The sequence below is a fragment of the Homo sapiens genome, chromosome 9, assembly GCF_000001405.40.
Source record: "Homo sapiens chromosome 9, GRCh38.p14 Primary Assembly".
Lineage (NCBI taxonomy): Eukaryota > Metazoa > Chordata > Mammalia > Primates > Hominidae > Homo > Homo sapiens.
The window spans coordinates 106,543,507-106,560,384 of NC_000009.12; the positions used below are offsets into that span (position 1 = coordinate 106,543,507).

The 16,878-nt window shown below is 35.6% G+C and overlaps 1 long non-coding RNA gene across 6 annotated transcripts in view, besides 1 other annotated feature; it reads left to right on the forward strand.

Moving 5' to 3' along the window:
* LOC107987108 (uncharacterized) overlaps positions 1-16,878 on the forward strand; it is a 675,821-nt gene that overhangs the window by 614,526 nt on the left and 44,417 nt on the right. For all 6 annotated transcript variants that reach the window (XR_007061713.1, XR_001746870.2, XR_007061714.1 and 3 more), the window contains one exon: positions 14,966-15,077. This is a non-coding gene — a long non-coding RNA (uncharacterized LOC107987108). The remainder of the gene's footprint in view (positions 1-14,965; positions 15,078-16,878) is intronic.
* Positions 14,616-15,815: an enhancer, noted in NCBI's record as "CDK7 strongly-dependent group 2 enhancer chr9:109320403-109321602 (GRCh37/hg19 assembly coordinates)". NCBI's record gives its function as "activates an origin of replication core promoter dependent on BRD2, BRD4, P300/CBP, MED14 and CDK7 cofactors, with strong dependence on CDK7, by STARR-seq in HCT116 cells {active_cell/tissue: HCT116}" and the evidence as "EXISTENCE:reporter gene assay evidence [ECO:0000049][PMID:35650434]".

The following is a 16,878-nucleotide window of genomic DNA, read 5'->3' on the forward strand; positions in this document are numbered from 1 at the left end:
ATCTACATATGTGCATAATATAGAAAGAAACTATTTTTAAAATGTAAAATATAAATCAAAATAATGAAAGCAAGGTAAAATAAAATCTAATTATAACTGTAAATGGGGTAATTTAGTTATATTTCAAGAGCAAAAACTCTCTGGCATGGGCAAAAAAACTAATTCCAATTATAAGCGTTGGATATTGAGAAAGAAAAGTGTTTTTGATGGACTAAAATTTAAAGGATGGGCAGTCAAATATCAGAAAATACAGGTAAAAAAAATTGCTAGAATAGAATGTTCTAGAAATCAAAGCAAAACTTATTAAAAAGATGGAAAACATATTTGACAAAGTGCATAAATGAAGATAAAGATATAATAGCTATGAATAATAAATTTGGCAACAAAAAGTCTTAAAATATAAAGCAAGAATTGTTAAAGATTAAAGAATAAATATAAATTTTTAAATGGGATATAGAATATCTAATTTATGGGATTAAAGTTCTTCTTATAGCCACATATTGAAATGTAAGTCTACAAGTAGAAAATGCAACCCTTCTCACAGGTTTATGAAACATTTATAAATGTTAATTATAAGCTCCCAAGAAGAGCTTAATACATTTTAGGATTTTACAAGCCAATTCTATCTTAAGAATGCAATAAAACTGAGAATCAATAATGAGGAATATTAATAACCCAGTCACTTGGAATAGTAACAATGTTATTGTAAATAATTTTTAATATAAAAGAAAATTTTTTAAACTTTGTTTTTAAATAGCCAAAATAAAACCAGTACATGTACTAGTTCACAGGATCCAGTCAAAAGTTGTGACAAGAAGAAAAATTCACAATGGAATATTATTCAGCCATAAAAAAGAATTTAATCCTCTCATTTGCAGCAACATGAATGGAACTGGAGGTCATTATTTAAGTGAAATAAGCCAGGTACAGAAAGACAAAAATTGGATGTACCATCTCCTATATGGGAGCTAAAAAAGTTTATCTCAAGGAAGTAGAAATTAGAATGGTGCTTACCAGAGGCTGGGAAGTATGGGGGAGAGGGGAGATAGAGAGAGACTGGTTAATGGTTGCAAAAATACAGTTAGAAATAAGTAAGTTCTAGTGTTCAATAGTACAGTACAAGGACTATAGTTATCAATAATATACTGTATATTTCAAAATAGCCAGAAGAGAAGATGTGGAATGTTCTCAACACAAATAAATGATAAATGTTTGAGGTGATAAGTATCTCAGTTACTCTGATTTAATCAGTGCACATTGTATGAATGTATCAAAATATCACATATGCCCCATAAATATGTAAAATTGTATATCAATAAAAAAAGACTAATCTTCTATCATTGCAAAAGAGAATGGAAATAAATAAGCTAATTATTTAGTTCTAGAAGCTAGAAATGAGAAATCAGAATCCTGGCAAAATATGAAGAAGAAATAGATATAGATATAGATAAATATAAAATTAATTAAAAACAATAAATATATTGATAAATCCATCTGAAAGCTATTTCTTGAAAAAATAATAAAATATAGGATACACAAGGAAATTAAATTAGAAACAGGTAGGGATTATAATCCAAAATATAAAAGACACCTATGCAATAAAATGGCAAATATGCCAGGCTAATAAATTTGAAATTGTTAACAAAATAGATTTTTTAAAAATTGTATTATTTATTTATTTTGAGACAGAGTCTCGCTCTGTCACCCAGGCTGGAATGCAGTGGCACAGTCTTGGTTCACTGCGACCTCTGCCTCCTGAATTCAAGCGACTCTCCTGCCTCAGCCTCCTGAGTAGCTGGGATTACAGGTGTGCGCCACCATGCCTGGCTAATTTTTGTATTTTTAGTAGAGACGGCATTTCACCATGTTGGTCAGGCTGGTCTCGAACTCCTGACCTTGTGATCTGCCTGCCTCAGCCTCCCAAAGTGCTGGGATTACAGGTGTGAGCCACTGCGCCTGGCCTAAAATAGATTATTTTAATAAATATATACATATATATATATATATTGCACCATTCTTAATGTTGACAAGATTAGAACCATCTAATGAACCTGGAGAGAAATGTAATTAGTCCTAGGCCTAGATGGTTTTATTTCTAATTTCTTTTTAAATTTTTAAAGAAATATAGGGCCTCAAAAAAAAACCTTAGGAGATTTTCCAGATTATTATATAAGATGAACATTATCCTGGCATAAAATATAGAAAATAATAAAATTCAACAAAGCAATACAGGTTGAGCATCCTTAATCCAAACATTCAAAATCCAAAATGCTCCAAAATTCAAACTTTTTGAGCACTGACATAATACTACAAGTGGATAATTCCACACCTGACCTCACGTGATACATTCCAGTCTAAAGGCAGTCAAAATTTTGTTTCATGCATGTTATTTAAAATATTGCATAAAATTTCTTTCAGGCTATGTGTATAAGGTGTATATGAAACAGAAAAAAATTATGTGCTTAAACTTGGGCCCTGTCTCCAAGATATTTTATTATGTATATGCAAATATTCCAAAATCCAAAATATATCTGAAATATGAAACACTTCTGGTCCCATGCATTTTGGATAAGGGATACTCAACCTCTCCATGAATCTCATAAGAAAATAGGCATTAAATACACCAAATAAAACACAGGTAAATCATGTAGTAACTTGTGGCAGACCAACTGTCCCAAAAAGAACAATTGGAAATGGATTGTATATTTTTAAAAGTCTGTTTGAAGGCTTCAGTGAGTTTGTTAAGTTTATTAATCTAGGCTTTAAAGGCCAATATCCTGAGCAGGGAAGAATCTGAGAAGTAAGCTAGCATTCTTTGTATTTCTTTTCTCCTTGTGGTATTTGTCAACTCTTGGCATAAGAGAAACACCCCTCCAAACCCCCCAACCCACCAAAAAACAGATAACAAATCAAATGAGGCCACCAGAGGAACACTTTCGGAAATTTTGTAGGACTGGAAGTACAAAAATTGTAGATTGGGGCTTCCAAGTCAGCCAGAATTTTATCAGTAAATATCTTAGAAGAGTGGTGCAGAAAAGTGAGCTTTATATTTTGCTTTTTTTTTTTTTTTTTTTACATCAAGACACCTGCCAATTATTTAAGCTAGGCAAAGGCAGAATAAAATAAGCTAACTGGAAAATCTCTAAAAAATCAAAGCAAAACTTGACAGTGCTAAAGAAACAAAAATTTTGAATTCAAGACATTTAAAGAAAGAGAGGTTCCAGTATGTATCTTCAAATCTCCATTGGTTCCCCTGGAAAACTATATCCTAGGAATCAGGTTAAACCAGAGACCAACCAAACTTTACAAAAATTGCAATCCAGTTTTAGATAAATGTAATCCTTGATGGATTTACGGTAATATACCCCATAGGAATTGTCCCAAGCGTGATGAACTTTCTCTGTTCAATGTAAACTTATTTAGAACATCTACCTCTTTGTAAGTGAAATAACTGGATTTTTTTTTTGAGACAGAATCTTGTTCTGTCACCAGGCTGAGTGCAGTGGAGTGATCTCCGCTCACTGCAACCTCCGCCTCCCGTGTTCAAGTGATTCTCCTGTCTCAGCCTCCTGAGCAGCTGGAACTACAGGTGTGTACCACCACACCCAGCTAATTTTTGTATTCTTAGTAGAGACGGGGTTTCACCATGTTGGCCAGGATGGTCTCCATGTCTTGACCTCGTGATCCAACCGCCTTGGCCTCCCAAAGTGCTGGAATTACAGGCCTGCGCCACTGTGCCTGGCCTGGAATTCAATTTTTTAAATGTCAGCTATATCAAGGAACAGGACCAAAAAAAAGTAGACAAGAGATATGCACCGTCAATTCACTGTACTTACCAGACATGAAACTCTAATTAATAGCTCAAGAAAATTGATGACAAGATGGAGAATTTCACCAAAAATACTGTATCTATAAAAAATTCAGTAGCAATTCCAGAACTAAAAATAATGTGGTAATGAAAACTAAGAACTTGATTTAAAAGTTGACTAGGCCAGGCATGGTGGCTCACATTTTGGGAGGCCGAGGCAGGTGGATCACCTGAGGTTGGGAGTTGGAGACCAACCTGACCAACATGGAGAAAACCCGTCTCTACTAAAAATACAAAATTAGCTGGGCGTGGTGTCGCATGCCTGTAATCCCAGCAACTCGGGAGGCTAAGGCAGGAGAATCGCTTGAACCCAGGAGGCGGAGGTGGCGGTGAGCCGAGATCACGCCATTGCACTCCAGCCTGGGCAACAAGAGCAAAAATCCATCTCTAAATAAATAAATAAATAAAATACATGAAATAAGAAAAAATAAAAGTTGACTGGACAAAATCAAAAGGATTAATAAACTAGAAAATGAATGATTAGAAAATATTCAAGAGAGTTATAAAGAGCAAAACAAACAGAAAACACATAAACTAGCCTAAGGGATAAACGGAACATGATAAAAATATTGAATATATTTTAAAATTAATTATCAGAAGGAGAGTAGAAAAAGAATCAAATAGAAATGAAAAGATAACGTCAATACATTTTCCAAAACCCACTAAAGGAATTAAACCACACATTCAAGAAGCACTAAGAATAGCAACATTTAAATAAAACACACACACTTCAGCCTATCAGCATAAAACTAAGAACAAATACAAAATACATTTTTAAGATTTTTAAGAGAAAAGAACAACATTAACTTCAAATGAACAAACAAGATTTACGACTAAATTCCCACCAAAACAATGGGAGCCATAAAGGCAATGGAATAACTTTCTATAAGAGCTGAAGGAAAATTTACTGCCCACCAGAATTCTATGCCTAGAAAAAAACTCCTTCATAAGTAAATAAATGAAATACAAACTGAATGACTTTTATTATCATATTCCAGAATAGACTTTTTAAAATTATACTTTAAGTTTTAGGGTACATGTGCACAACGTGCAGGTTAGTTACATATATATACATGTGCCATGTTGGTGTGCTGCACCCATTAACTCGTCATTTAACATTAGGTATATCTCCTAATGCTATCCCTCCCCCCTACCCCCACCCCACAACAGGCCCCAGTGTGTGATGTTCCCCTTCCTGTGTCCATGTGTTCTCATTGTTCAATTCCCATCTATGAGTGAGAACATACGGTGTTTGGTTTTTTGTCCTTGTGATAGTTTGCTGAGAATGATGGTTTCCAGCTTCATCCATGTCCCTACAAAGGACGTGAACTCATCATTTTTTATGGCTGCATAGTATTCCACGGTGAATATGTGCCACATTTTCTTAATCCAGTCTATCATTGTTGGACATTTGGGTTGGTTCCAAGTCTTTGCTATTGTGAATAATGCCGCAATAAACATACGTGTGCATGTGTCTTTATAGCAGCATGTTTTATAATCCTTTGGGTATATACCCAGTAATGGGATGGCTGGGTCAAATGGTATTTCCAGTTCTAGATCCCTGAGGAATCACCACACTGTCTTCCACAATGGTTGAACTAGTTTACAGTCCCACCAACAGTGTGAAAGTGTTCCTATTTCTCCACATCCTCTCCAGCACCTGTTGTTTCCTGACTTTTTAATGATCGCCATTCTAACTGGTGTGAGATGGTATCTCATTGTGGTTTTGATTTGCATTTCTCTGATGGCCAGTGATGATGAGCATTTTTTCATGTGTCTTTTGGCTGCATAAATGTCTTCTTTTGAGAAGTGTCTGTTCATATCCTTCGCCCACTTGTTGATGGGGTTGTTTGTTTTTTCTTGTAAATTTGTTTGAGTTCATTGTAGATTCTGGATATTAGCCCTTTGTCAGATGAGTAGATTGCAAAAATTTTCTCCCATTCTGTAGGTTGCCTGTTATGGTAGTTTCTTTTGCTGTGCAGAAGCTCTTTAGTTTAATTGGATCCCATTTGTCAATTTTGGCTTTTGTTGCCATTGCTTTTGGTGTTTTAGACATGAAGTCCTTGCCCATGCCTATGTCCTGAATGGTATTGGTGCTGGGAAAACTGGCTAGCCATATGTAGAAAACTGAAACTGGATCCCTTCCTTACACCTTATACAAAAATTAATTCAAGATGGATTAAAGACTTAAATGTTAGACCTAAAACCATAAAAACCCTAGAAGAAAACCTAGGCAATACCATTCAGGACATTTTTAATATTCTACAAATAAGGGAGAACACATACAGTTACATGAAAATGGTCAGAAATTGGAACAAGCTCTTAAGTGGCCAACAAACATGTGAAAAGTATTTAAAATAACCTGTCATCTGGGAAATGCAAATTATAATTACAATGAGATGTCAGTATGCAACCACAAGGGTGGCTGAATTGTTTTTAAAAGGTGGTAGCAGCAAATATTAGCAAGAATGTGGAACTGAAACATCCATACACTACAAATAGGAAAATAAACTGATAACTTGGAAAACTGTTTGACAGTATCTACCAAAGCTGGAATATATGCATGTACTGTGACTCAGCATTGTCATTTCTGGGTATATACTTGAGAGCAATGTGCTTACATGTGCACCAAAATCATGTACAACAATGTTTGTATTCATAATTGATAGTCACAAAATAGGAAAATATGTGTCAATCAAGATTAGAATTAAGAAGTAAATATGGCATAGTCACACAGTAAATTATAATAAAGCAGTGAAATAAAAAGTTACTGCTATACTCAAAAATTTGGATGAATCTGAGATATAATATTGAGCAAATGAAGGTAGACACTGAAAATATATACTGTATGAATACACTTAAATGAAGTTAAAAACAATCAAAACCATAGTGATAGATATCAGAATGGTGGTTGCCTTTAGAATGAATATTAGCTGGGAAGGTATAAGAGGGAGATTTCTAAGGTGCAGGTAATACCCAATATCTTGATCAAACTAGTGATTACATAGATGTATATTTTGCAAAACAAAATACAGTTATACATTAGAGTTATACAGGTGCTGTACATGTGTATACTTCAATAGAAATATTAAAGGTAAGTGAAAACAAAGACATTTCCAGACGAAATATAAGAGAATTCATTGCCAGTAGACTTGTACTGAAATAAATATTTAAGGAGGTTCTTCAGATAGAAGAAAAACTGTCCCAGATAGAAATACAAGAAAAAAATGAGGTGTGAAGAGCATACAAAAGAAACATAAAGAAGTGGGTCAAATGGAATTAAACTCTTGGAAGATTCTTGTACTTCCTGGGAAATTGTAAAAGACAAAACAAAACCCTCATCTATATTATATGAGACTATAATAAGTGATGGATGAATGTTGTATAATTAAAGATAAGTACTCAAACTATAGTAATAACTGAGAAGCTAACAGAATGGAAAATAGAATAATAAAAATTACTCGACTAATCCAAAAGAAAAGAAAGTCGAGAAAAAGAAATACAAAGTGAGTGGAGCAAATAAAAAGCAAATAGTAAGATTGTAGACCAAACCTCAAATATATATGTATATGTATAATTGTACTAAATAAAAATAGGCTAAGTATTTCAACAAAAAGAAAAAATTATCAAACTATATGATGCTTAAGAGAAACAATTCTTAATAGAGAAAGTTCAAAAGTAAAAAGATGGGGGAAAAGGTGAACCATGTAAAGATGAACCTAACAATATTAGCACTTTAACAACAGATGAAGTGTTTAAAGCAAAAATCATTACCAGAAATTGAATTGATTACTTCAAAAAGATCAAAAGGTAAATTCACCAAGAAGACTGACAATTCTTAACTTGTTTGCCCCAATAACATAGATTCAGAAGATATACAACAATAACTGACAGAACAAAATGGAGAAATAGAAGATCAAAATCAGAGCTAAGATTTTGGCCTGTTGCTCTTTATACATGATTAAAGAAACAGACAAAAAATTGAGTAAGCAATTATGAGATCCAAATAACAAAATTAATAAACTTGACTTAATTGACATATATAGAATGCAGCAACCACCAACTATAGAATGTACTTTCTATTTTTTTTCTTTTTTCTTTTTTTTTTTTTTTGAGATGGAGTCTTGCTCTGTTGCCCAGGCTGGAGTGCAGTGGCACAATCTCAGCTCACTGCAACCTCCGCCTCCTGGGTTCACGCCATTCTCCTGCCTCAGCCTCCCAAGTAGCTGGGACTACAGGCGCTCACCACCATGCCCGGCTAATTTTGTTTTTGTATTTTTAGTAGAGACGGGGTTTCACCGTGTTAGACAGGATGGTGTCGATCTCCTGACCTCGTTATCTGCTCGCCTCAGCCTCCCAAAGTGCTGGGATTACAGGCGTGAGCCACTGTGCCGGACCAGAATGTACTTTCTTTTAAGAGCACATGAAATATTTACCAAAATCCACCATATACTGAGCTATAAAGTCTCAATGAATTGCAAAGAATTGAAATAATGTGGAAGAAGATTACAAAACTAAAATGGAATTGTGCTAGAAAACAAATAGCAAAAAAATTAGAAAATTCCCTAATATTTGCATTTTAAACAATATTATTCAAAATAAGTTAAAGTCAATAAAGAAATCTCAATGAAAATTAGAAAATCCTTTTCACTACTTGACAATTAAAAAAACTATATAGCAGAACTTAAGGGATATAGCCAAAGCTGTTCTTCAAGAGAAATGTATTATCTTAAATGCCTATAGTATATTAGAAAAGAAAAAAGCTGCAAACAATTATCTAAGTACCAATTTCTAGAAGTTAGAGAAAGAAGAGAAATCAAAACTAGAAGTAAAATGAAATAAATTTTAGAGTAGGGAAATCAGCAAAGTAGAAATTAAGCAATAGAGAATTAACCAAATTAAACGCTGGTTCTTTGTAAAAAATTACTAATACTGATAAAACCCTGATAAGATTAATGAAGTTAAAAAAAAGGAAGGGAAGAATATATTACCAATTGGAAATAAAAAGAGGACATAATTATAGTCTTCATGAACCTTAAACAGATAATAAAAGACTATTATGAAAGACTTTATTAATAAATTGGAAAATCAGATAAAATTAATGAATATCTGGAACAACACTACTTATCAAAACTAAATCAAGAAGAATTTTTAAAAACCAATTGACCTATACATTTATTAAAGAAATTGAATCTACAAATAAAATCGTTGCCATGGAACATTCTCCAGGCCCAAGAAACTTCACCTATAATTTTTATAAATATTCAAGGAACAACACCAATCTTAACGCAAAAAAAAATTTCAGAAGAATAGGAAAAAGAGAAAATACTTCTATGTTATATTATAAATCCAGAATAATTCTGATATAAAATCTGATAAGAACATTACCAAAAAAGTAAAATCACGGATTTATGAGCATACATGTAAAAACACTAGTAAATTTCTATTAAAATAACAAAAATATTAGCAAATATATATATAAAAAAAGCACACCACAGTCCAATTGGATATGTTTCAAGAATAGAAGGACAGTGCAACAAACACCAATCCATGCAAGTCACCACCGTGAGAGAAGCCATACCATTTACTTCATATAATGCAGAGAAAACATTTGCTAAAATTTAAAACCTCCTCATCAGTTAAAAAAGAACCAACGAAACTTATTTTTAACAAAATCCAGCAAGCTTGGGGAAATAGACAAAATTTATCTAAAATTTCTTCAGAAATGCAAATAGCTTGGAATAGCAAAAATAATCTTTAAGAAGAAAACCTTTAGAAAACAAGGCTTCTTTAAAAAGTTAGAGTAAGATATATTGATATGAAGGTTAGAAAAGAGGTGAATAAAATAAAATAAACAGTCTAGAAACAACACCATGCAAGAACAATCTCACTATCTATGACTAAAATGCCACAGCGAAGGAAAAGGATGATCTTCTCAATAAGTGGCGCTAGATCAGTTTTATGTTTTTATGAAAATATAAACTTCTGCACTGCAACATACATAGAAATCAAATCTAGATAGATCTAGATAGCTTAATACAAGAGTTAAAGCAATAAAACTTTTACAATATAACAGAATAAATATTTTTATGAACTTGGGATAGGTAATGATTTTTAAAATTAAACACAAATGGCATTACCATAAAAGAAAAGATTGACAAATTGGACTATAGAAAAAATTATAACATCTATTAATTAAAAGACATACTACAGAATTGGTAAAGATAAATATAAGATTAAGATATGATGAGGGAGTCATTCAGAATAACAAACTTTTACTAAACAGTAACAAAAAGAAGTCATCAATAAAAACTAGCTAAGAAAAACCTCTTCCAAACAATAAAAGAAGAGGAAACACTTCCAAATGTATTTTATGAAGCTAGCATCACCTGATTGATACCAGAGCCAGACAAGAACACAATAAAAAGATATAAAAGGAAAACTACAGGCCAATATCCCTGATGAAAACAGATGCAAAAATTCTCAATAAAATACTAGCAAAGTGAATTAAACTGCACACTAAAAGGATTATATACCATGACCAGTGGAATTCATCCCTGTGATGCAAGGACAGTTCAATATATGTAAATCAATGTATTATACCACATTGACAAAATGAAAGGAAAAATATCACAAGATTATGTCAATAGATACAGGAAAAGTATTGGACAAAGTTTGGCATCCATTCATAATTAAAGCTTCAACAAAATAAGTACAAAAAGAACTTTCCTCAACACAATTATAGCCATATATAAAATGCCCATGGCTAACATTATAATCAAATGTGGAAAAACTGAGAGCTTTCCCTCTAATATCTGGCACAAGGCAAAGATGCTCACTCTCACGACCTCTACTCAACATAGTGCTAGAAGTCATAGCTAAAGTAATTAGAAAATAAAAAATAATCAAAGGCATCTAATTGAATAAGAAGTATAATTATCTCTTTGCAAATGACATGATCATATATGTAGAAAACCCTAAAGACACAATAATTTTTAGAACAAATAAATGAATTCAGTAGATTTGCAAGATACTATTTCAACACACAAAATCAGTTGCATTTCTATACCCAAACAATAAACTATCCAAAAAAGAAGAAAACAATTTCATTCACAATAGCAACAAAAAGAATAAAATACTTAGAAATAAACTTAACCAAGGAGGTGAAAAAGAAAATTATAAAGCACTGATGAAGGAAATTAAAGACACTGAAAATTATAAAGCATCGAGGAAGAAAATTAAAGACATATATAAATGGAAAGATTTCCCATGGCCATAGATTGGGAAAAAATAATATTCTTAAATGTCCATACTGCCCTAAGTGATTTACTGATTCAATGCCATCCCTATCAAAATCCCAATGTCAATCTTCATAGAAGAAAAAATAACATTTCCAAAATGCATATGGAACCACAAAATACCCCAAATACCCAAAGCAATCATTAGAAAGAACAAAGTTGGAGACATCACACTTCTTTATTTTAAAGTATATTACAAACCTACGGTAAACAAAACAGCATGGTACTGGCATAGAAACAGACATATAGACCAATGGAACAGAACAGAAAACCCAGAAATAGAATAGAGAACCCAATGCATGGGTTCCTCCCAAAAGAAAATATAAGATGTTGAGTAAACATGTAAAAAACTTATCATCATAAATTATAAGGAAAATGCAAACTAAAGCACAATTACATACCACCAAACAACACCCACCAGTATGGTGAAGTTAAATTAACTGACATTATCAAATGTTGATGCAGATATGGAGGGAAAGGAACCCTCACATGCTGTCTGTAAGAATGTAGAGTAGTATAACCACTGTGGATGATTCTTTGATGGGGCATCTCCTAACTCTGAATGTGCACTTGATGACCAGCAGTTCCACTCCTAGATCATATTTAACACAAGAAGAAATCTTGGGAGGACACACCCCACCAGATACATATGTGCAAGTATGTGGTATACATATGAGCACAAAAGACAAGAACATAGCAACATTGTTACAATATCTAAAATTTGGACATAACCCAAATACTCACCAATAATAAAATCAGTTTAGTTATTTGTCACATATTCATATCATAGAATAGTAGGAAAATGAAAGAGTAACTACTTCACACAACTACATGGATCCATTTCACAAAATGTGAGGAAAATAAGCCAAAAATAAAAGAGTGTAATTTTATTTTCTTTCTCTCTGGCTCAAAAATAGGCTAAAACTAGTCAGGCGTGGTGGCTCACACCTGTAATCCCAGCACTTTGGGAGGCTGAGGCAGACAGATCACCTGAGGTCAGTAGTTCAAGACCAGCCTGGCCAACATGATGAAACAAAAGATACAAAAATGTACCAGGCATTGGTGGTGCTGTGGTGGGCGCCTGTAATTCCAGCTACTTGGGAGGCTGAGGCAGGAGAAGTCCTTGAACCTGGAAGGCAGATGTTGCAGTGAGCCGAGATCGTGCCACTGCACTCCTGCCTGGGCGATAGAGCAAGACTCTGTCTCAAAAAAGGGAAAAAAAAAAAAAAAAAAGGCTAAAACTAGTAATTATTACCTTTGGTAGTAGAGGGCATGAGGAAGGCTCTTAGGATACATTTTATGACCTGTGAGGTAGATAACTGGGTGTTTAACCTTCTAAAATTTTATCACTTTTGCAGTTTTCTGTGTATATGTTATTTTTTGATAAAAATAGTAGATATATCAAAATGTTTACAGTATGTATAACTGAGTTGTGGTATCATAGATGGTTTTTATTTTCTTTACGCTTTCATATACTTTTAAAATATGTAACGTTTAAGCATTTGAAAGTGATTTGCATTTTCTAATCACTTTGATGAAACCTTCTCCTCTTGATCTCTTTTGCCCTTTCCCTAAGTCTATGCCTTAGAACTGTCTTGTGTCAACTATTCCAGTGGTCTCTTGATCAGTCTTCTTGTCTCTATTCTTGTAAACAGGAGACAAAATTATCTGCCAAATGCTGGTTAGTTTTGTGGTCTTTAAGAGAATTCCTTAACTTTGAAGCAATTGCTCTTGGTAGCCCTTTACCTAGTCCTCATTTTTTTTTAAACCACAGCACACAAAACTAATGATACTCCTGTGAAACACATGAAAATGGAAATGTTTTCAAGTGATAGAAGCCAGACACGAAGGTCATGTGTTATATGATTTCCTTGTATGAAATATCCAGAATAGGTAAATCCATAGAGACAAAACACAGACTATTGGCTGCCAGGGACCGAGAGTAAGGGGGTATAGAGGGAAACTGCTTAATGGTTACGGAGTTGTTATCAGCTGAATTGTAATACCTCCTGCAAAAGAAAAATTGGTATGTTAAAGTTGTAACCCATAGTACTTAGGAAAGTAACTCTATTTGGAGACAGGGTCTTTACAGAGGTAGATAAGTTAAAATGCGGTCATTATAGTTGGCCCTCATCCAATGTGACAGATACCCTTATAAGAAGAGGAAATTTGGACACAGACACATACAAAGGGAGGACTACGTGAAAACACAGGGAGAAGACAGCCATTGACAGGCCAAGGAGAGAGGCCTGGAACAGATTCTCCCTCATGGCCCTCAGCAGAAACGAAGCCTGCTGACACTTTGATCTTGAAATTCCAGCCTCCAGAACTGTGAAAAAATGATTTTTTTGTTTTTTAATCCACCCATTGTCTGGCACTTTTTAATAGCAGTCCTAGCAAACTAACTCAGGGGTTTTGCATTGGAGTGATTGAAATGTTTTAAAACCAGATAAGGGTTGGTGTTTGCATAACACTGTGAATGTACTGAATGTCAGTGAGTTGGTTACTTCAAAGGAATTAATTTTATGTCATGTGAATGCCACTTCAATAAATTAAAAAGAAAAGACACGCCCCCCCCCCCACACCACCCAGCTTTCTTACCACACACCAGTCAGCCAGGCAATTTTCCCTTACAAATGAAAGCAAAAGACTGGAGGTTTATTCTCCAGAGAAGGTAAAAACAAAGATGCTCTGCACTGCCTTCAAAAAATCATGAGGAATTTTGAGAGGCCATTGTCAGATTAGCCCATCATTAAATGTTAAAATATATCAACTTACAATTAAATAAATTATATTATAGGCACAGACAGTAAATACTCAAAATCCTCACTTCCTAATAATTTTACTATCTTTTATTATTATCAACAGTTTTGAGGTTATTTGTATCTACTGTCTATCTGTGGTGGAAATACTTCATAATGATGTGACACTTCCCATCTCTTCTGAACTTTACTTCAGTGGTTATCATGTTGGTACCTTGACATTTTCTGTGGTGGAAATTTTTACTCCATGGAAATCATCAAAAACTACAAATCAGGACGCTTCTTTCCCCACTCCCTCCCTGCCTCCATTCTCAGAGCCGGTTGTTAAACCTCTACTAGCACCCTGCTGCTCACAAATGCTAAGTATCATGGAGGTAAATCACAGTCTTGGACAAACAAGAATCCCCAACAGAAACAGCCTTTGGAAATGCTCTTCCACATTTCCTCACTGTTGTCCTGGCTTCCTCCTTGTTCACCACAGTGCTGTTGCCCCTGGAAGCCACCTCACATCAGCCAGGGAGAGTGAGGGGCCTGGGCAACAGTCCTGCATGCTCAGGTGAGCTCGTGGCACCGACAGCTGGGGACACTCCCCACAGTGATGGCAAAACCATCTAGCGCTCGGGGTCTTTGCAGCTCCTGGCTGCCATGCTGGCAGCATCCTCTTGGCTGCCACTCGCTGTCCTGGCTCTCAGTTTCCTCTGTGTCAAGGCAGGAGCAGCAGGCACTGAGCCACTCTAAATGTTTGCTGGAGATGGAGCAACCTGGCCTGGTCGCAGCTGCAGCCGTGCTTCCTGCCAGAACCTCTCAGCGGCTGAGTCAGTGGGTTCATTGGTGGGATGGGAAGAAGCAGTCCATGAAAGGGCCTCCCAAGGTGAGCCTGGCTCTGACAGCCAAGCAAGGGATATCTGTTCTCCTTACCTGGGAAACAGACGTAGAGGTCAAAGGGTAGGCTTAAAGCCATAGTCATCATTCCCTATCTGGAGCCACCAAACCTGCCTCTCTCACTGGGGTAAAAGTGTTGACTTCTTTCTGAACAGGGAGTGGCAAATCAAAGGCATTGCAGCCTCTTTCATCACTGCCGATTGCTGATGCCAACCATGTGCCAAGTGCTTAATACGTCACCTTAAATCTTCTCATCCACCCTCAGAGGTAAGTGTTATTTTCCCTGTTTTACAGATGAAGAGAATCAGGCTGAGGAAATTACTTGAATAAACTCTCAAGGAGAGTTTGTGATACAGCCTGGATTCAGGCTCAAATTCCTCAGACTCCAAAGACAGTGCCCTTCCTGCTGTACTGCCCCTGTTCAGGCCCTCCCATCTGGACTGGTTCAGACCTTTCCATGTGGATGGCTGCTGCCTGTTCACCTCTCCTGCCCCTCTTCCCCTGCTTCCACACATCCTGCACACCACAGTCAAATTAATCTCTGTCTAAAGATCTAGATACAGATGCAGACAGATGCAGATATAGATATAGGCATAGAAATTGACATAAACATTGACTTAGACATAGACATGGACATGGACATGAACACAGACATGGACATTGACTTAGACAGAAACATGGATAAATATTTTGATGAAAGATTCAAAAGGTCAAGAATCATGTCTGATTCATTTTGTGTCCCTAGAATCTATCACAGTACCTGTTTCAGAGCAAGGAAGGTCTCCAAAAATACCGGTGGAATTAAGCTGAATGGACTATCGTTTCCCAAATAAAGTATTGGTGACTCCTACCAAATAATAGTATTAGGTACAGAGGCCTCACGTCAGCATCTGGAACTCTCCCCATCTGACCCCACCTGACCTTTCTCATATTAACTACACGTAGCCTACACTCTAAGCATACATGTCTCCTTCGTGTTCCCTAAGCCCCACCTTGAACTTTCTTACCCCCATGTCATTGTTCATAAGAGCCTCCATTTAAAGGGCCCTCTTTAGCCCCACCTATCCCTTCTAAAATGTCATGGCCCATTTAAAATACTACTTCCTCCTTGAAGTGTCTCTCTTTATCTCTTTATGAAATGTAATGTTTCTGTCTTCTGAATCCCTTAGAGCTGTACATCGTTCTATGGCCTAACCTTTCTCTGACATAGATTTTAATCACTGAGATAATAATTCATCTTGTCTGGAATGTCCTTCATCCAGACTCTTTTTTATGTTCATGATTCAGTCTAATATCACCTCCTCTGTGAAGCTTTTCCAGCTCTCCCAGGCCAGTTAGTCGCTCCCACCTAAATGCTTCTACAGCATCTGAACATCCTCCATTGAAGGACTGGTCATCATGGTTATGGCCCAATTGCTGTTATCTCTCAACTGCCAAGTGCCTCAGAGATATAGGTGGTACCTTCTTGGACTTTGTCTTTATGGCTTCCACCACAGTTTCAGCAGTAATTGGTAAACGAATAAGTGAAAGACAAGAAAGACACTGTCCCATTTTCCTGTGCTCCCAACCTTCTTTCTCTACCATTCTACCTGTTTGCCTTCTGTTATCAGTATGCTATTTGTAGGATCACAGGTGGAGGCATGGGAAACAAAAAAATAAGAAAAACTAAGCAGCACTCAAAAATATAGGAAAACACAACAGATCATCTGATCTGAGGGCACAAAAGCCAGGTTTTCAGTTGCAATTAGAATAAACGGTTTTCATCAAATGAGTTGGTGGCAATGACTGTTAATTTATTTGTAGTTTCAGTATTTCCCTCAAACAACAGCAACAATAAAAACAATAAAAAATAAAAATAAAAAAACTAGGGCCTGGCATGGTGGCTCATGCCTGTTATCCCAGCACTTTAGCAGGCAGAGGCAGGCAGATCACTTGAGGTCAGAAATTCAAGACCAGCCTGGCCAACATGGTGAAACCCTGTCTCTACTAAAAATGCCAATTAGCTGGGCGTAGTGGCATGCACCTGTAATCCCACCTGCTCGGGAGGCTGAGACAAGAGAATCACCTG